The sequence below is a fragment of the Homo sapiens genome, chromosome 9, assembly GCF_000001405.40.
Source record: "Homo sapiens chromosome 9, GRCh38.p14 Primary Assembly".
NCBI lineage: Eukaryota > Metazoa > Chordata > Mammalia > Primates > Hominidae > Homo > Homo sapiens.
Genome location: NC_000009.12, coordinates 27,094,004 through 27,115,825, shown reverse-complemented (window position 1 = coordinate 27,115,825; position 21,822 = coordinate 27,094,004). Strand labels below are relative to the sequence as shown.

General features: G+C 40.3%; 1 protein-coding gene and 1 long non-coding RNA gene across 6 annotated transcripts in view; both read right to left on the bottom strand.

The window, feature by feature from the left end:
- TEK (TEK receptor tyrosine kinase) overlaps positions 1 to 6,601 on the bottom strand; it is a 120,950-nt gene extending 114,349 nt beyond the window's left edge. For 3 of the 5 annotated variants that reach the window (NM_000459.5, NM_001290077.2, NM_001290078.2), the window contains exon 1: positions 6,184 to 6,601. In NM_000459.5, coding sequence (NP_000450.3) covers positions 6,184 to 6,235 — 52 coding nt within the window. In that variant the 5' untranslated portion in view covers positions 6,236 to 6,601. The remainder of the gene's footprint in view (positions 1 to 6,183) is intronic. The other 2 variants (NM_001375475.1, NM_001375476.1) reach the window with 1 other exon arrangement.
- LOC124902134 (uncharacterized) lies at positions 9,285 to 13,128 on the bottom strand. The gene is made up of 2 exons (XR_007061440.1): positions 12,750 to 13,128; positions 9,285 to 11,214 (listed from the first exon to the last, which is right to left on the bottom strand). It is a non-coding gene; the product is annotated as an uncharacterized LOC124902134 (long non-coding RNA).
- Positions 13,129 to 21,822: the final 8,694 nt, after the last annotated feature.

Genomic DNA, 21,822 nt, shown 5'->3' with positions numbered 1-21,822 from the left:
ACAGCTTCACTCAGCTTCCTTAAGCCTGCCCTGCTATTTTATACACACCCCCTTTGTATAGGTTGCTCCCTCTATGTCCTTTCTTCCCTTTTCCTTTTCATCTTGGTTTCAAAATCATTTGGCTATGAGCAAGTTATAACTATAACTGGACCTGACTTTTGGCAATATTCACAACTATTTAGGAGTTCTTGCAAAGACAGAAAAATCAACCTACAAGTTGTTTTCAAAATACTACTCATTTTCTTTAGTTGACATTCCACGTTTTTAGACATTTAATTAAATATTTATGTTCAATTTAGTTTCGTTTGTTTGTTTGTTGTTTTTTTTGAGACAATGTCTCGCTCTGTTGCCTAGGCTGGAGGGCAGTGGTATGATCATGGCTCACTGCAGCCTTGACCTCCCAGGCTCCAGCAATCCTCCCACTTCAGCCACCCGAGTAGCTGGGACTACATGCACGTGCCACCATGCCAGGCTAATTTTTGTATTTTTTGTAGAGATGGGGTTTTGCCACGTTGCCCAGGCTGATCTGAAACTCCTGGGCTCAAGCGATTTGTCTGCCTCAGTCTCCCAAAATGCTAGGATTACAGGTGTGAGCCACTGCACCAGACCTTTATGCTCAATTCAGATATTGCTATTTCATTTTGTATCATTGGACCCAATAAAAACTTTTACAGCCCTTGAAAAGCTCAGATTTTGTAAATACCTTTATTTGCTGTAATATCTCTATTAAATCATTTATCACAACATTTTACAATTCATCCGCCTATATTCATTTTTCCCACTAAAATGTGAGCTTAGCAAAGGGAAAAAATTATTTATCCTTATTTATATTCCTAGTTTCCAGGACAGTACATGGCTCAAAGGAAACCCTCAATAAGTCTTTGTTTATTGAAAGGATAGATGAGTGAATGAATGAATGAATGATTGGCACACAGTAACTCAATAAATATCTATTGAATAGAAAATACGACTATGTTATAGGTAATATTCAACAATCATACAATACCTCATCTTAAGTAAGGCCCTGGTTAGAACCACTTTTATGAGTATATCTTTTATGTTTCACACCTAACAGAAGAAACTTTCTTTCAACTTTATTTACATCAAACATTTAATATAAGCTAAACTTTTAAGATGAGAGTGAATATCATTTACAAGATATATAAAATTGATTATCAGATTGGTGCAAAAGTAACTGCAGTTTTTACCACTACTTTTCACCAACCTAATATTAAATTTTTTTTTATTTTTTTTTGAGACGGAGTCTCACTCTGTCATGCAGGCTCGAGTGCAGTGGCATAATCTCGGCTCACTGCAACCTCTGCCTCCCTGGTTTAAGAGATTTTCCTGCCTCAACCTTCCGAGTAGCTGGGATTACAGGCACATGCCACCATGCCCAGCTAACTTTTGTATTTTTAGTAGAGGCAAGGTTTCACCATGTTGGTCAGGCTGGTCTCGGACTCCTGATCTCGTGATCTGCCCACCTTGGCCTCCCAAAGTGCTGGGATTACAGGCATCAGCCAACGTGCCTGGCCCAATGTAATATTATTATTTCGATGTTACTGAGATCCTTTCTACAATGTTCTCTTTTCCTTTCAGCTCCGCTGTGAAGTACCAACATTTTCTTACTGTGACCATAAAACTCCATTCAACAGAAATTACTAAACATTAAATACATGTACTAATGAGAATAGAAAAGAAATAATATCTGTTGTGAGAGATTTAGAGGCTAATTGGGCTAAATCTGGCTGCCCAAAGCTCAAAGACACAATCTGCATGGTAAAGGAGCCTAAACTTAGGGGAAGAACATCAGGAGGAAGAGTTGGCCTGGGCAAATTGAGTTGAATTGTGTTTGCAGAGTAGAGATGAAAGATGCCATTTCTAAATGGATGGAACAGCATGAACAAGAGCCAAGAGGAAAGAATGTGTAGATTGTGGAGATGGGCCTGGTTGAAGCAGACAAGATACAAACAGGGATAAATGGATAAGTGAGGGGAGGGTAGATGGGTAGTTGGCAAAGTGTTTGGGTTTATTCAGTTGGAATTGGCCAGCACAAAGTTTGAGAGACAGGATTATACTGAGGTTTTGTAGAAAGAGACAGCATCTATGAATATTAAGTGGTTCTCCTACATCCTGGGGCAGATTAGATCAGTCTTGACTAGCACAGTGGTTCTCATAGCAACACTTCTCTTTTGATTATACTAGCTTCATTATTTATTTTATTTTATTTTATTTTATTGAGACGGAGTCTCACTCTGTCACCAGGCTGGAGTACAATGGCGTGATCTCAGCTCACTGCAACCTCTGCCTCCTGGGTTTAAGCGATCCTCCTGTCTAAGCCTCCCGAGTAGCTAGGACTACGGGCACACACCACCACACCTTGCTAATTTTTGTATTTTAGTAGAGATGGGGTTTCACCATGTTGGCTAGGATGGTCTTGATCTCTTGACCTCATGATCCACCTGCCTGGGCCTCCCAAAGTGCTGTATTACAGGTGTGAGCCACAGCACCAGGCCCCAAGCTTCATTTATTAAGAGAGTTCTCACTGGCTAAGCATTTCACAGGCATTATCACATTTGATTCTCATCACAACCCTGGAAAATGGGTATTTCATCCATAAAAGATGAGAAAAATGTGGCTTAGAGAAATTAAATAACTTGCTTATGGTTATCCAAGTTGGGCTTTGACTTTGTAATCCATGTTTCCTCCTTCAGTTTGCCTGCTATGTTCGCTGTTAAATTTCTCAGGTCTTCAGTGCTTCATGGATGTGCTCTTAGCAGTAGATTTCAGTGAAGTGATTACCATTTCTGATTTGGACTTCATATTTCTGCTAATACAACATATGACAGCTTATGCAGTACCTTTTTAGCAAGCAGAGCCTATGTTGTCTTCCATGACTTTTGTGTATCCCCAAAACCTAGGTGTCATTCACAAGAACTTTCAACAAACCAGGTCTCTCCCACATTAAATATACATAACTTATTTCTTGAACCCAAACACAGAACCAGACATTTACCTATTTTGAAATGGTATCTTTTTGTTTTGGTTTTCCACCCTTCCAGCCTAGAACAATCTATTTAAATCCTGATTCTGTGAGCTCACCAGTAAGCCATCTACAGAGAATAAGCAGGTGATACAATCACACAGATATCCTTTGGGGAGATAGAGGCTCAGGAGGCAAACTGATAATTTCAGAAGAATTTAGAGCCCACCCACCTAAATTCCCCAGAGAACATCACATAGTCTTTTGAGATGAACTTAGAAGACTCCTTCCCTCCTGGAGAGACGCCTTGGAAGAACTAGACTCTTCCAGGAAGCTCTCCCAGGGCAGGGCTGAAAGGGAAATGCTGAGACCTAACAAACAATAAAGACAATGCTTGGAAGGGAGCATCTGTGAAAAAAGCAAGCTCCTCCCTCTGAGAATAATTCCAAAGGGTGTCTCCGATCCCAGCTTTCAGACCTCCACCCTTGATTACTCAGACTTGACACTAGCCTTCTGAGACCAGCCCTAACAAGGGGGTTTCATCTGGGAGCACTTCCCTGACCTTACAACTGTTTCCTCTGCCACCCCAGACAAGATGTCTGCTATCTCTGAATCCAGTTGTTATTTAAAATGTCAAGTGACAAGGGCGGGCGTGGTGGCTCATGCCTGTAATCCCAGCACTTTGGGAGGCCGAGGCGGGCGGATCACTTGGGGTCAGGAGTTCGAGACCAGCCTGGCCAACATGGTGAAACCCCGTCTCTACTAAAAATACAACAAATTAGCCAGGCATGGTGGCGCACGCCTGTAGTCCCAGCTACTCGAGAGGCTGAGGCACAGAATCACGTGAACCTGGGAGGCGGAGGTTGCAGTGATCTGAGATCACTCTACTACATTCTAGTCTGGGTGACAGAGCGAGACTCCATCTCAAAAAAAAAAAAAAAAAAGTCAAGTGACACAGTAAAGAGGTATGAAAGCATGAGACTAGAGACTTCCTATTAGATCATTGTTGATCACGTAGAAGATACTATGATAAATCACAGTGATTTTTTTGTTAGTTTTCTACATATACAACTTTTTAAAGAGAACAGCCTGGTTTTATGAGGAAGAGTAGGGAAAAGCTAATATAATAGAACCTGTTTGAAAGCTGAAGTTAGCAATGATTCTCAATTCAGAAAAGGAAAGCAACAGAATCTAGGAGTATTTGTAAGGAGCTTCTGAGAGCTACACATCCCCTCCAGCCCTCTTATGGGTAAACAACTCTGTCATCCAGAGCCACCTTCACTAAAAAAAAGTGGCTTTTTTTTTTTTTCAGTCTGTGGGTTCAGAAAAAAGAAACAAGAAACAACCCACTGGACTAGAGAGATAAACCTTTAAGCCATAAGCCCCTTGCTCCACTGCTTTAGTCTACCAGGAGTTTGACTAGAGGAACGGGCTCCTATGGCTGTGGACATTATCTAGCTGGATTCTTGTTGCAATTATCAAGCCTTGAGCAGTCATGCTCATGGAGGCTTAGACTAGGAATGCAAGCTACGATCAAGACAACAGACCTACCTCAGAAACTAACCTTGCTAGTGTCACCCTTCCTAACAAGAACATGAACCTACTTCCTCTCCTTGGTCCTCTGCCTTTTAAAGGCAGTGCTGTTTTTTCCAGGGATCTGAGGTCTAGACATGGAACAAGTATTTTGGCTACATACCTTTTTGTTTGATTTTATGACAATTCTTCTAAGCCTGTATTGCAAAGTGCTATAACACAGTTGCTTTAGGAGTAAAAAAAGTGAATGAAAACAGTTGTGTGTGTATTAACCTACAAAGTACCTCAGAGAAACTATAGACACCTGGGCTTCACATCACTATAATCCCTGGTATAGAGTAAGTTCCAGATTTCATGTCACTGGTAAATAATGGCACTCAGAAAAAAAAAAATCAAAAATGGAATCATGATAATTATTTGAAGTACATATTATTGGAGAAGTCAACATTATTTAAACAATTTCCACATAAATACTGAAGCCACCTAAAATCTTTTAATTTTTAGCAACTTGTGTTACACATTCTTAAAGAATATTATTAAATTCTCAAAATATTGGTTGTTGAGAGCTATAAAACAAACTGTATTCAACTCAGTTATTTCATTGGATTTGTTTTTTGAATATTTAATAAAATAGTTCAAACACCTAGAAAATATAGCAGATACTTATGTATACTCGAATCAAATTATATTAATATGCCCTATATCCATGAAGTTTAGTGAATTTTCCCAAATTCATCTCCAATATCAATTCGATTTTCGTTATTAAAATTAGAATGTTTTCAAACCGAAGGGGAGAGACTGATGGCAATGATAAATGTATTTGTGATATGTAGTTCAGGTTTGGATACTGCCTTCTACCTATGTCACATAGGCTGAGTGAGCTACAGAGGCACACCACTATCTGGAGTATCTAAGCAATAAACACGCTGAACCCAACACACTGGCCAACCACTCCTTCACTCTACAACAGGCTTCATATACTCTCCTGTGTTAAAGATTTTGGTAACTGCCTAAATTTTTGTTTCATTGGGCCAGTAAACCCTTTATGAATTACTACATGGCAAACATTTTTTAAAATAAAACAAAAATTCTAATAGCCCCAATCTCCCTGACCCTAACTACAAGAAAAAAAAAAAAGCCTACAATTTCATTGCTTTGCTTAAAATAGGATGTAGATATAAAATCTTTTTACAGAAAAGCATCTTTGTTCCCTTTTAACAGTGACAATCTATACACTGCCTTAATTGGGCCCCTGTATTTCTCAGCATGAATTTCATTTTTTACTGAAGATTTTCTTTAAAGCAGGTAAAACCGGTTTGTTCTTTAAAAAAAAAATCAATAAGAAAAACACTCCAGAATGAGGAGCAGGAAAATAATGCATGATAGTAAGGGGATCTCTTCAAATAAGATGATTTAATCGGTCCTCAAAGAGTTTCTAACACAGGGGCCAATCACCCAGAAGACAAACTAGCAAAATCAGTTCATGCCACAGAGCCTTTGCATTTCAATCCTTCCACACATATTGACTGGAGACTCACAGAGAAATGGTGCCTTTGCTACAGCCACCCCTTGTTCATCAGCACTGATGAGATTTGGGGAGAGCACCCAGAAATCACTAACTCTGTTTTTTAAAATACTAAATTAAAAAAAATAAAGCCAAACCTTACCAGAAAGGAGCAAGCTGACTCCACAGAGAACTAAGCTGGCTAAAGAGTCCATGCTTCCCCAAATCTCTCCATCCAGTTTCCACAAATGTGCATGAGGTCCCAAGGATCCTTTCAAAAACCCAGCGGTTTGTGACTTTCCATTAGCATCGTCCTACTACGTCTTGTTTACAAGTTAGAGGCAAGAAGGAACAGCACAGAAGCAGGCTGTAACAGTCTCATTTCTGTCTGAGCACAGGGAGTTTTAAGTTCCTTTTTCCTGTTTCCTTTGTAGATTAGGATGGGAAAGGCTGTATCTTAAAGGCATTTGGTATCAGCAGGGCTGGGGGCACTCAAGCCCTATCCATCTCGCAATTCATCAAAACACTTATCTGTTGCTGTTGCTTCTGCTGCTGCTTTTGCTGCTGCTGTAGGGGCAGAGGAATTTTTGTTGGAAGTGTGGGTCCCGGTCAGCATTTTCAGAAACAATAGGGGTATCCTCTCATAGGCGGGAAACTGAGAATAACAAGCCCTCCACCTATGTATGGTATGCGATGATGACCAATCCTTCTCAGACTTCTAACAGCTCTCCCGGGGCTACTGGGATCTCTGACAGAAGGAGCTTTTGGGTGTGGGAAGCCGTTTTGGCTTTTGTTTTCTCATTTTAACCCACATGGTTTGAATTGGGAGAAGAAGGTTTCCGTGATGAGAAAATACAACCTGAAAAGCAATTAATTTCAGTGAGCACCGGTGAGGTCAATGCTCAATGTAGCCCCAAGAGACCAGAGTCCAAAATTGTTAGCCTGTTTTCTTTCACACAGATGGCCTGTTGGTTGGCCATTAGCCCAAAGATACCCATGTTGCCGGCTATAGCTTTAATTTTCATTAACAATTCATCTAAAGGTGATCAAATTTCTTGAAGAAGTTGGCATAGAAGGATTTTGGTAATGAGAAAGATTTGGTAGTCATTGAGCAATGGTGTTTCAGAAGCAAATTATATATAACATTTAAAAACTAATCTGTGTAAAAACACAAACATACAGGATTAGATTGGGATAAAAATGGTGCTCATGAGAGCAAAGAGAGTTCATGGACCAAAATGAAAATAGCCATGGAATGTACAATATCTAGAATGAGGTCAGAGACCCTACACTTATCCAGATAATTACTCCACAATATGAATTATGACATTAGATTAGAGAGTATACACTTTGCTCATCATCGACCTTCATGCCTGAGGAAATCATTATACTCCTCCTTTTCCTACCCACCAGAGGAAAAGGCAGATGCAGCTAGTCTTGACTAATTTCTGTCCCAGGTTTTATCACATCGATGATGATCTTAAGAACCAATTAATGTTTCCAGTTTGCAGGTGTGAAAAAGCCCAGGTTCTGTCTGCAAACAGAACTGGGTTCAAATACTGGCTCAGCCACATGTGTAGCTGAGAAAAGTTACTTAGTCTTTTTGAGCCTCAGTTTCAACAGCTGTGAAATGGCAAAAATATCTCCTTCCCAGGTGTTTTGAGAGGAATAAATGAGGTTTAAAAATATAAAACCATTTGGTACTATGCCTAGTTCTTTGAAGGTTCTCATTAAATGTTAATAAGTTTATTTTCTTTCATCTTTCCATTCAGTCTCAATTTAAATTCCAAGAGCTTCTACTAAAAAGCTATTTTCTATTCCTATGAGATGACTTTAAATTTGTCATCACGAAAAAAAAAAACAAAAACAGTGGGCCTGGCACAGTGGCTCACGCCTATAATCCCAGCACTTTGGGAGTGGATCACCTGAGGTCAGGAGTTTGAGACCAGCCTGGCCAACATGGCAAAACCCCATCTCTACTAAAAATACAAAATTTAGCTGTGCTTGCTGGCGTGCACCTGTAACCCCAGCTACTCTGGAGGCTGAGGCAGGAGAATTGTTTGAACCTGGGAGGCAGAGGTTGCAGTGAGCCGAGATCGTGCCACTGCACTCCAGCCTGGGTGACAGAGCAAGACTCTGTCTAAAAAAAAAAAAAAAAAAAAGAAAAAAAAGAAAGAAAAATGAAGTTCCACACAGGCTAAGTTACTTGCTCTGCTGTGAGTAGCAGAGGTAATAATATCTGAATCCTGAGCTCTGGACCTCCAATTTTTCCCTTGTTTCATAGTTGAAAAGTAGATCAAGAGTAATGTAGGACATCACAAACACCAGCAGGGTACACCTAGACCTTACAGAAGTATTTGAAATGAAACTTTGACAGATAAGAATAGTTTGGTGACACTGAGAAGTGCGGTCAGTTCTTAGTGTGCTTCTGAAATAACTAATGTCAGGATCGGTGGGTGCTGTATTAATTCACTTCAGGAAAATGAAAGGGGCCTCCTCATGAGTCAAGCTCATTCCATTTAATTTGATTTTTCCAGACATACCTACAGTAAAAGCATAAAGAAAACCAAACCAAACTAAACAAACAAACAAGGCTCTTGGCTGATTCTTCATTTTCTATTTCCTGCTTTTTGCACTCAATACATGAAAAACACTATAGACAACATTAAAAGTCTTTGAGACTAATTAACAAAGGTATCAATAGATAACAAAACGGTTTTTCTGAAAGAGGTGGAAAATAACTTACATAATACTACTATACACTGGTATCACATGTCAAGAGGTCAACATCACAAACACAAAGCAAAAGCCTTGTATGCATACCCTTTGGCCCAGAAAATCCAGTTTTTTTTTTTTTTGAAATAGAGTCTCACTCTGTCGCCCAGGCTGGAGTGCAGTGGCACTATCTCGGCTCACTGCAACGTCCGCCTCCTGGGTTCAAGCGATTCTCCTGCCTCAGCCTCCTGAGTAGCTGGAATTACAGGCGTGCACCACCACACCCGGCTAATTTTTATACTTTTTAGTAGAGATGGGGTTTCACCATATTGGCCAGGATGGTCTTGAACTCCTAACCTCATGATCCACCCCCCCCCCCCCTTGGCCTCCCAAAGTGCTGGGATTACAGGTGTAAGCCACTGCGCCCCACCAGAAAATCCATTTTTATGATATACACCAAGCCAAAATCAAATATGTGCCCCCAAATTTGTGTATAAGGACATTATAGAAGCATAGTTGATAATAATCAAAGCCTAGAAATAATCAAAATGGTCAACAAAAATGGATTATTTATTAAAAATCATGGTATACAATGAAGTTCCAGACAAGTGTTCAAATACTATGGTGAAATCAGATTGACATAAAAAGATGTGAAAATGTTTATGGTATACTGTTGATTGGGAAAAAAACACAATTTAAACAGAATGAAATTTATACACACTGAAATACACACCACAGATATACAACAAATAAATATCAAAGCGTTGAAAGTGACTATTTCTGAGTTGTTGGAAAACATAATTTTTATTTTCTTTTTTATACTTTTCTATAATTTTAACACTTTTAGAAATAACGAACATATATGTAAAAATGAAGAAGACTGAGGGGACGTCCTTGAGAAAGTTGACCCAGGGCAATAGGATGTATACTTTAAAACATCCACTGGCAAATAAGAAACAGAATCCAGGCTACCATATGACCCAGCAATCCCACTGCTGGGTATACACACCAAAGAAAGGAAATAAGTACATCAAAAATACATTTACACTCCCATATTTGCTGCACCACTGTTTACAATACCTAAGATATGGAAGCAACGTAAGTGTCCATCAATAGATGAATGGATAAAGAAAATGTGGAACATCTACACAGCAGAGTACTATTCGGCCATAAAAAAGAATAACATCCTGTCATTTGCAACAACATGGATGGAACTGGAGGTCATTATGTTAAGTGAAATAAGCCAGACACAGAAAGACAAACATCACATGTTCTCATTTATTTGTGGGATCTAAAAATCAAAACAATTGAACTCAGGGAGATGGAGAGTAGAAGATGGTTACCAGAGACTGAGAAGTGTTGTGGGAGGGTGGGGGAGGTGGTGAGGATGGTTAATGGGGACAAAAAAAGCTACTTAGAAATAATGAATAACACCTACTATTTGATAGCACAACGGGGTGACTATAGGCAATAATGACTTCATTGTATATTTTAAAATAATGTAATTGCATTGCTCATGACACAAAGGATAAATGCTCGAAGGGATGGATACCACCACATTCTCCATGATGTGGTTATTTCACATTGCATACCTGTATCAAAACATCTCATGTACCCCATAAATATATACACACCTGCTATGTACCTACAAAAATTTAAAATTAATAAATTAATAAAATAGGATAATTTTAAAAAGAAACAGAATCCAGATACATAAAGTGTGGCCTCCAGGAGGTGACCAAGAAGATGGGGTGTCAGCCACCTACAGTACAGCCCGGACATTCTGTCTTTCACTGGTCTGTGGGCACTGAGCCACCAGAGCCATCCCATCTGACTTCTTAAGGACATTAATGAACTTTTTTGTGAACCCACTGTACATAACAGTGGCTAGCAGAAAAGGAAGGGTCAGGCTAGGCATGGTGGCTCACGCTTATAATCTCAACACTTTGGGAGGCCAAGGAGGGCGGATCACGAGGTCAGGAGTTCGAGACCAGCCTGATCAACATGGTGAAACCGTGTCTCTACTAAAAATACAAAAATTAGCCAGGCATGGTGGTATGTGCCTGTAGTCCCAGCTACTCAGGAGGCTCAGGAGAATTGCTTGAACTTGGGAGGCGGAGGTTTCAGTGAGCCGAGATCACACCATTGCACTCCAGCCTGTGGGATGGAGTGAGACTCCATCTCAAAAAAAAAAAAAAAAAAAGAAAAGGAAGGGTCATCAACAATTAAGTTTTGGCCTTCAGCCAGGACACCACAGTTAAAGGGACAACATCCACTCTGGTTTGGCTGTGGAAAATACCTGACCCTCTCCAAACCCCATTTACTCTAAACCCTCTCAGCTATTGCAGCATTTTTCTTTTTCTTTTGTTAACATTGAAACGGCAAGGACTATATTATTCACCGTAGGAAGAGACACAGAAATAGAAGATGTTGTCTCTGCTTTTGAAGCTCATAATTACAAAATCCCAGCGTGGTGGCACTGCATCAAAACAGGAAAAGTTAAATCACAAAATCAGGCATTGTGCTGTTGAATACCAAAGGGTGGTACAAGGAATAAAGTTCTAGCAGTTGTTTGCTTTTGTACCCTTTAGACTAGAGAACACCAATTCTCATACTTTTTTTTTTCTTTTCCTGGTATTTCCTAGACACAGGTGGCATCTTTCCAGATAGACTGTAAGCTCTTAGGGCAGGAGCTCTGTACTTTATTTCGAATCATCCTATGCCTTCTCTCAATGGCTTAAGAGAAGGAGTAACCTGGATGTCTTTGCAACCATTGTGAGGTCATGTGGCCGCAGATAACATAGACTAGGTATAGATAGAATAGATAGGACACAGATACAGGTATTCCCCTGCCTTGAAAAAAAAAAAAAGCTTTAAAAATGATAAAATAACATGAAAAGAAAAAGTAAACTCCTATTCCTCCTTCAAAATACAATCCAGGCCGGGCACCGTGGTTCATGCCTGTAATCCCAGCACTTTGGGAGGCCGAGGTGGGCAGATCACTTGAGGTCAGGAGTTCGAAACCAGCCTGGCCGACATGGTGAAACCCCCGTCTCTACAAAAATACAAAAGTTAGCCAGGTGTGGTGGTGCATGCCTGTAATCCCAGCTGCTCAGGAGGCTGAGACCGGAGAATCACTTGAACCCAGGAGGTGGAGGTTGCAGTGAGCCGAGATCGCGCCCCTGCACTCCAGATTGAGGACAGAGTGAGACTCTGTCTCAAATTAAAAAAAAAAAAAATTCAAATGTCATCTCATCTATGAAACCTTCCTCTTGGTAGCTACCAATACCTAACAAACCACCACATAATGTAGCAGCGTAATACAACAATCATTTATGTAGCTCGTGACTCTGTGGGTCAGAAGTTCGGGCTGCCCTGCACAGTTCCCCTGATCTCAGAGGGCCTCCCTCATGTGTTCACAGTCAATTGTCAGCCATTAAGGTAGTTCAGCTTCAGGTATGGGCTGACTGCCTGTGTGGCAACCAGGATGGCAGAGCTTTAACTCTCTCACCTTCCAGCAAGCTAGTCTGGCTTCTTAACGTGGCAGGCTCAGAAATCCAATAGAGTGGAAATAGACAAGTTCTCTTGAGGCCTAGGCTTAGGATTAGCATATCATTACTACTGTACATTCTGTTGGCCAAATCAATTCATATCACTCAGACTGCATCTAGGAGCGGAAACATAAACTCCACCTTTTGATTTGAAGAATTATAAAGTGTGAAACTAAAATAAAATCAAGAATTTTGGTCATTTTTTTCAAAAAGGTTTGTTGGAATATAATTTATATACAGTAAAATTCACCACCTTTTCAGAAAATTGTGGTGAAAACATACATACCATAAAACTTACTATCTTAACTGGTTTTAACTGTACAGGCCAGTAATGTTAACTATACTTACATTCTTGTACAACAGATCTCTAGAACTTTTTTGTCTCGAAAAACAGAAACACTATATCCATTGAACAACTCCCCATTTCCCCTCCCCTAACCCCTTCGACCACCATTCTACTTACCTCATACAAGTAGAATCCTGCAATATTTGTCTTTTTTATGACTAGCTTATTTCACTTTGTATAATGTCCTCAAGGTTCATCTAAGTTGTAGCATGTGACAAGACTTCTTTCTTTCTAAGGCTGAATAATAGTCCATCATATGTATATACCACATTTTCTGCATCCATTCATCAGTCCGTGGACATTCAGGTTGCTTCCACCTCTTGGTTGTTATAAGTAATGCTGCAAAGAACATGAGTATGCAAAGATGTCTTCGAGATCCTGCTTTTAATTCTTTTGGATATCTACCCAGAAGTGGGGTTATGAGATTATACGGTAATTATATTTTTAATTTTTTAGGAATCTCCATACTGTTTTCCATAGCAGCTGCTCCATTCTGTGTTCCCACCAACAGTGCACCAGGGATCCAATTTCTCCATATCCACTTGCTGTTTTCGGGGTTTGTTGTGGTTGTTGTTGTTGATGATGATGATGTTGTTGTTGGATAGTGGGAATCCTAACAGGTATGAGGTGGAAATTCACTCCATTTAAGTACACAATTCCGTAACTTTTGGCAAATGCATACCTTGGTATAATAAGTGCTCCAATCACCCCAATATCCGTCACCCCAAAAGTTTTCTTAAATCCCATTGTAGTAAAAATCTCCTCCCCCAACGAACAGCCACAGGGAATCACTGATCTGTTTTCTATCCCTATAGTTCTGAATTTTTCAGAATGTCATATAAAGGAATCATACAGAATATAGCTTTTTAAATCTGGTTTCTTTCATTTGGCATAATTCATTTGATAAATTCATGTATTTGCATGTATGAGTAGCTTGTTCCTTTTTTGTTCCTCAAAAGTATGCCATTGTATGGACATACCACAATTTGCTTATCTATTCACCAGTTTATTTATCTATTCGCTATTTGGAATATTTTCAGTTTTGAGTGATTATGAATAAAGTCCCTATAAATTTATTCATCTTTATAATTTAATGTTCAGAAATCCACATACATATTTTTGTGTGAGCATGTTTTTCATTTCTCTTGGGTAAACACCTGGGACTGAAATTAGGGAACTCCTAAACTTTTCTGTTGTGGTTGTGCCATTTTTTTTTTTTATTTCCATCATCAGCATGTAAAGTTCTGTAAGTCACCATGGTGTTTGCAGAAAAAAAATCTGAAAAAACAAAAACAGTCTTAGTTATCATGCATCCTTGCTAGCTCTTGTTATTGTCACTTTTTGTGTGTTTGTTTTTTAGCCATCCTAATAGGTGTGCAGAGAAATAAATCAGTGTGATTTTTAAATCTACATTTCCCTAATGACTAACAATGCTGAGTATTTTTTCATGTTCTTTTTGCCATGCATTTATCTTCTTTGGTAAAGTGTTCAAATTGCCCATTGTTCAATTCAGTTGTTTGTTTCTTCTTGTTGAGTCTTAAGAGTCTTTTATGTACTTTTGTCAAAATACGTGATTTGCAACCATTTTCTCTCAATCTGTGGCTTGTCCATTTTTTTTACACTGTCTTTTGCAGAGCAAACATTTTTAATTTGAAAGAAGTGCAATTTATCCATTTTTTTCTTGAATAAATAGTGCTTCTGTGTTATATGCAAGGAATCTTTGCCTAACACAAGGTCATAAAGATTATTTCTTATGCTTTGTTCTAAAGGTTTCATAATTTTAATACTTAGGTAACATTCTTTTTGAGTTAATTTTTCATGTAAGGCATCAGGTATAAGTTGAGGTTTATTTTCCTGCATGTGGATGCCCAATCATTCCAGCACCATTTTTTGAAAAGACTATCCTTTCTCCATTGAATTTTCTTTGCACCTTTGTCAAAAATTACTTGGCCACAAAAGTGAGTACATTTCTAGACTCTCTGTTGTGTTCCATTTATTTACGTGTCTTTTTTTTCTTTTTCTGAGAGACAAGGTCTTACTCTGTCACCCAGGCTGGAGTATAGTGGTGTGATCGTGGCTCACTGCAGCTTCAAATTCCTGGGCTCAAGTGATCCTCCCACCTCAGCCTCCCAAGTAACTGGGCTGCAGGCATGCACCACTATGCCCAGCTAATTTTTGTAAAGACAGGATCTCTTTATATTGTCCACACTGGTCTCAAACTCCTGGCCTCAAGGTGATTCTGCTGCCTCGGCCTCCCAAAGTGCCTGGATTAAAGGCATGAACCACTGCACCAGGCCTATGTGTCTATTCTTTTGTGAATACTATACTGTCTTGGTTACTATAACGTTTTTGTTTTTGTTTTTTGAGATGGAGTCTCGCTCTGTCACCCAGGCTGGAGTGCAGTGGTGTGATCTCGGCTCACTGCAACCTCCACCTCCCAGGCTTAAGTGATTCTCCTGCCTCAGCCTGCCAAGTAGCTGGGATTACAGGCATCACCACCATGCCTGGCTAATTTTTCTATTTTTAGTAGACACGGGGTTTCACCAAGTTGGCCAGGCTGGTTCTGAACTCCTGACTGCAAGTGATCCGCTCGCCTTGGCCTCCCAAAGTGCTGGGATTACAGGCGTGAGCCACCGTGCCCAGCCAGTTACAACATGTATGGTAGATATTGAAATCAGGTAATAAGAAGTCCTTTAACTTTGTTCAATTTCAAAATTATTTTTGGTTGTTCTCGTTCTCTTGCATTCTTTTGCTTGCTTTGGACTTATTTGCTCTTTATTTTCTAATTTTTTAAGATAGAAACTTGTATCACTAATTTGAGACCTTTATTTTTTGTAAAATATATTTATGTAATGATATAAATTTTCCTCTAAGCACTGCTGTAGTTTCACCCTACAAATTTTCATATGTTGAACTTCCATTTTTCTTTAGTTCAAAATTTAATCTAATTTCCCTTTAACCCATGAATTATTTAGAAATGTGTTACTTAGTTTCCAAAATCTGGGTGGATGTTTCAGGTACCTTTCGGTAAATAATTTCTTTTTCTTTTTTTTTCTTTTTTTTTTGAGACAGAGTCTGGCTCTGTCACCAAGGCTGGAGTGCAGTGGTGCAATCTTGGCTCACTGCAACCTCCACCTCCCAGGTTCAACCAATTCTCTGCCTCAGCTTCCCAAGTAGCCGGGATTACAGGCGACCACCACCACACCCAGCTAGTTTTTTGTATTTTTAGTAGAGACAGGGTTTCACCATCTTAGCCAGGCTGGTCTTAAACTCCTGACCTCACGATCCACCCGCCTTGGCCTCCCAAAGGGCTGGGATTACAGGCGTGAGCCACCGCACCTGGCCAATAATTTCTAGTCTAATTTTTTTGTGATCAGAGAACATACTTTGTATGACTTCAGTTCTTTTAAATTTGTTAAAGTTTGTTTTACAGCCCAGAATGTGGTCTATCTTGGTATGTGTTCCTTGTGCACTTGAAAATGTGTATTCTGCTCTTGTTGATGGACTATTTTAAAATTTTCAATCAGGGCTGATGAGGCAGCTTGTACCTGTAATCCCAGCAGTTTGAGAGGTCAAGGCAGGAGGATTGCTTAAAGCCAAGAGTTCAAGACCAACCTTGGCAACAAAGCTAGGCCTTATCTCTACAGTTTTTAAAAATTAGCCCATCTTGGTGGCACACACCTGTAGTCCCAGCTACTTGGGAGGCCGAGGCAGAAGGATTCCTTGAGCCCAGGAGTTTGAAGTTATAGTGAGCTATGATCACACCACTGCATTCCAGCCCGGGCAACAGGATGAGATCCTATCTCTAAAAAAGTAAAAAGTTTCAATTAGGTACAGTTGGTTCATAGTGGTTTTGTTTTTTGTTTATTTGTTTCTCTTTTTAAATTTTACTTTAAGTTCTGGGATACATGTGCAGAACATGCAGATTTGTTACATAGGTATACATGCCAAGTCTTCTACATATCTCTACTGACTTCCTTTCTACTCTTTTTCCATCAGTTCTGAAAGCAGAGTATTAAACGTTCTGCCTATGATTATGAATTTATAGTTATCCTTTCAATTCTGTCAATCTTCACGTATTTTGAAGGTCATTTGTTAGGTTTATTCATATCTAGGATTTCACATTTGTTATGTATCTTGGTCAATTGAACTATTTATCTTTATTTAACATCCATATTTATCTCTGGTAATATTCCTTATTCTGAAGTCTACTTTGATATTAGCAGACATTATTTATTCACAGTTACATTTTTATTCACCTTCGAAAGGCCACATACAAGAAGGGACTCTTGAGCTAGATATTGAAAGCTGAGGTGCTTCCCAGGTGAATCATGGCAGCGGGCAAGGAGGTGGGATGGGCATTTCTGATAAATGCACCAGTAATCTGATCCAAACATGAAAGTATGATATAATAAGTTATAGCAACCGGCTGGACATGGTGGCTCACGCCTGTAATCCCCGCACTTTGGGAGGCTGAGGCGGGTGGATCACAAGGTCAGGAGATCAAGACCATCCTGGCCAACAGGGTAAAACCCAATCTCTACTAAAAATACAAAAATTAGCTGGGCATGGTGGCACATGCCTGTAATCCTAGCTACTCGGGAGGCTGAGGCAGGAGAATAGCTTGAACCAGGGAGTCGGAGGTTGCAGTGAGCCAAGATCGTGCCATGGCACTCCAGCCTGGTGACAGAGAGAGACTCCGTCTCAAAAGAAAAAAAAAAAGAAAGTGAAATAATATACCATGTGTTAGTCTGTGTTGCTAAAAGGAATATCTGAGACTGGGCAATCTATGAAGAAAAGAGGTTTAAATTTGGGCTCATGGTTTTGTCCGCTGTACAGGAAGCATGCTGGCATTTGCTTCTGGTTAGGGCCTCAGGAAGCTTACAATCATGGCAGAAGGCAAGGGGGAGCCAATGTGTCACATGGTGAGCAACAGAGTAAAGAGACAGAGGTGGATGTGCCAGTCTCTTTTAAACAACCAGATCTTGCATGAACTCATTATTGCAGGGAGGGCACCAAGCCATTCATGAGGGATCTGCCCCATGACCAGAACACCTCACACCAGGGGATTACATTTCAACATGAGATCTGGAAAGGACAAATATCTAAACTATATCATTCTACTGCTGGTCTCTCAAATCTCATGTCCTTCTCACATTGCAAAATACAATCATCCTTTCCCAATATTCCTCAAAAGTCTTAACTCATTTCGGCATTAACTCAAAAGTCCAAATCTCATCTGAGACTCAAGGCACTTTCCTTCCACCTATGAGCCTATAAAATCAAAACCAAGTTATTTACTTCCAAGAAACAATGGTGGTATAGGCATTGGGCAAACGTTTCCATTCCAAAAGGCAAAAATAGGCCAAAAGAAAGAGCAACAGGCCCCACACATGTCCGAAACCCGGCAGGGCAAACATTAAACCTTAAAGCTCCAACATAATTTCCTGTGACTCCAAGTCCTGCATCCAGGGCACACTGGTGCAAGGAATGGGCTCCCAAGGCCTTGGGCATCTCTACCCCTGTGGCTTTGTAGGGTGTGGCCTCTGTGGCTGCTCTCACAGGTTGGAGTTGAAGGCCTGCACCATTTCCAGGCTCAGGGTGCAAGCTACTGATGGCTCTACTATTCTGGGGTCTGGAGGGTGGTGGTTCTATTCCCACAGCTCCACTGGGCAGTATCCCAGTGGGGAGTCTGTGTGGCGGATTTAACCCTACATTTCCCCTTGGTGCTTCCCTAGTAAAGGCTTTCTGTTGGGGCTCTGCCCATGCAGCAGGCTTCTTCCTGGGCATCCAGGCATTCCTACACATTCTTTGAAATCTAGATGGGAGCTGCCAGGTTTCCTTCACTCTTGCATTTCACACATCTGCAGGTTTACCACCACATGGATGCCACCAAGGCTTACAGCTTGCACCCTCTGAAGCCACAGTCTGAGCTGTACCTGTGACCCTTTGAGTTCTGGCTGGAGTCAGAGCATCCAGGATACAGGGAACAGTGTCCCAAGGCCATACAGGGCAGTAGCTGCCTGGGATTGACCTTTGAAACCATTCTTCCATTCTAGGCCTCGGGGTCTGTGATGGGAGGGGCTTCCCTGAAGACTTCTGAAATGCCTTTGAGGTCTTTTTCCCACTGTCTTAACTATTAGCACTTGGCTCCCTTTTAGTCACGCAAATATCTCTGGCAAGTGGTTGCTCCAAAGTCCTCTTGAATTCCTCACCTGAAAATGCTCTTTCCTTCTCTACTACATGGCCAGGCTGCAAATTTTCCAAACGTTTATGCTCTGCTTCCTGTTTAAATGTAAGTTCTAACATTAAGTCATTTCTTTGCTCCCGTATCTGATCACAGGCTGTTAGAAGTAGCCATACCACTTCTTGAACACTTAGTTGCTTAGAAATACTTTCTGCCAGATATCCTAGGTCATCACTCTTAAGTTCAACCTTCCGCAGATCCCTACGGCATGGACACAGTGCAGCCAAGTTCTTTTCTAGGGCATAACATGGGTGATCTTTACTCTAATTCCCAATAACTTCCTCATTTCTATTTGAGACTTCATTAACCTGGTCTTCATTGTCCATATTTCTATTGGCATTTTAGTCACAACAACTTAAGCCTCTAGGAAGGTCCAAACTTTCCTTCATTTTCCTGTCTTCTTCTGAGTTCTCTGAACTCTTCTAATATGTGCCTATTACCCAGTTCCAAAGCTGCTTCCACATTTTCAGTTATCTTTATAACCACACCTCACTCCTTAGTATCAATTTCCTGTGTTAGTCCATTTGCGTTGCTATAAGGCAGTGTCTGAGACTGCATAATATGTAAAGAAAAAAGGTTTAAATTTTGGCTCATGGTTCTTTGGGCTGTGCAGGAAGTATGGTGCCAGCACCCACTTCTGGTGAGGGCCTCAGGAAACTTACAATCATGGCAGAAGGCAAAGGGGGAGTCAGTTGTGTCACATGGTGAGAGAGGGAGGAAGAGAGAGAGGTGGAGATGCTAGTCTCTTTTAAACAATAAGATCTTGTACTCATTACCACAGGGAGGGCACCAAGCCATTCATGAGGGATTGCCCCCATGATCCAAACACCTCCCACTAGGCTCACCCTCCAACACTGGGGATACATTTCTACACGAGCTTTGGAGGTGACAGACAAACTATATCACCATGTAAGGGGAAATGTAAGCGACTGAGCAAGGATGAATTATATAAGAGTGAGAAAGGGTGTGGCCAGAGACAAGGTGCTTTATACAAACTGGGTCCAGACTTGGTATTCCCTACCAAGGTCTATAACAATGAGAAATAAAAGGTTTTAAATCAAGGAGTGTCACGATCAAATTTCTACTCTGGGAAGATTACTCTGAGAGCAATAACATGTTAAATTGGTAGAGATTACAGCCAGGAAAACACACGATAGATGAGTATTGCAATGTGGCATTTAAAGATCATGAAAGTCTGAAATAAGGCTATAGCAGCATCAGAGATGGAGAGAGTTACAAATGTTAAAGCAATGAAAATATTAACTTTAATGACTGTTAGACGTGGCACAGAGGGAGGAGACTAAGACAAGTTCAAGGTTGCTGTTTTGTATAATTTGAGAAAACATCTAGCATAATTCCTGATAATGACAGCTATTAGTATTATCATCATCGACTACAACTCACACATTTCACAGGTTAAAAAGCATCAACAACCTGTGGCCCCCATAGAAAGAGTGGAATCATACTCCTACTGGAGAAGCTACCATGCTTTATTGTAGAATAACTGTTTGCCCACCTCTCTCTCTCATTGTTAAACTGTGGACTCTCCAAGGGCAGGAATCCTGTCATATTTATCTCTGCATCTCCAGCAGCTACTTTTATAAATGTTTGTCGATTTGAAACATAAAATACGGAGCCTTTAAATGCTATTTAGTAGCCATTCCTGTTTGAAGAACTTTATTTTGATACCTTGGAAAACCAAATAAAGGCAGCTCAACTAGTTCCTACTTAAGCAGGACTTGTTCAATTCAGTGCTGTTAGCACTGATGGTTTATACGTCCAGGAAAAGCTCTCTGAATAGAGGCTGTGTTTTGCATATAAGATTTACAGTATCCCTGTGCACGTGTTCATAAATGACATTCAAGATATCCTGCCAGACCAGTCAGGAATACAGGCATGTCCCTGTAAAATAACAAAACAACACTCCTCTGACCTTCTAAACACCACTCACAAAACTGCTAGAAACTCAGGTCCAAATCATTCCCTTTTGATTCCCTGGGGATAAACTAATAGACGCTGAATTCCAGACCACATGGAAGTCCCCCACCCTTTGTGACTCAAGGCCTCCTCATCAGCTCTGTATTGTGACTCCTGGCATGGCTGCAGTCCCATACAGAAGCCATCCTGCCAGACTCTCCAGCTTTGTCTGCAGTTGCCCTCCCTGTGCCCTCTGCACTCTACACATCATAGCCTTCTCACTGTTCCTGGAACATTCCAAGCCCACAGCCCATGAACTCATCCCCCTAAACCTCCAAGGGACTTTGTAATAGGTTCTCCTTTGACTTGAAAGCTCTTTCAGTTAATCACTTCAGTGAAGTGGGTAAGAGACGGAGAACAAAATTAACCTGGAAAGAATGTTAGATTGTGTGTACCATCTTTTCACCCACACCCGCTCTCTGAGATTGCAATCAGCCCTTCTCAGATACAGAAACAAACAAACAAAAAACAATTGTAATGAGGAATTTCACAAAGACCACTTAAAATAGAAACTTTCTTTTAAAGTAAGGAGCTATTTTTTTTCTCTTGCATTTGGCAAAATACTCTAAGTTAGAGGCATGGAATCTGTGCTTTACTTTTTTTTACACTGGAAAGTCCATATTGGAGTTGGCCTCTAAAACTGGCATCCCAGTTCTCATAAAGTTAATGGTGTTAATTATTGATAATCTTCTGTCCTTCAACCTGGCTTACTCTAGCTTCAATAAGGACAGACAATCTGCAAGCAGGAAAAACTTATTTAATTACTTATAAGTGTTTAAAATATAGATACATATTAATACCACCTACACACCCATGCACAATATATAAACACATAGACAAACAATTCATGCTATGGCAGGTTTAGCCAACCTGGCCTGTCTATAAATCAATCAAACTAGGGTCTCTCCAAGTATAGTACAGAATATTGTTAGGACACCAGGCCTTGGAATCAGAAAAGCAAATACA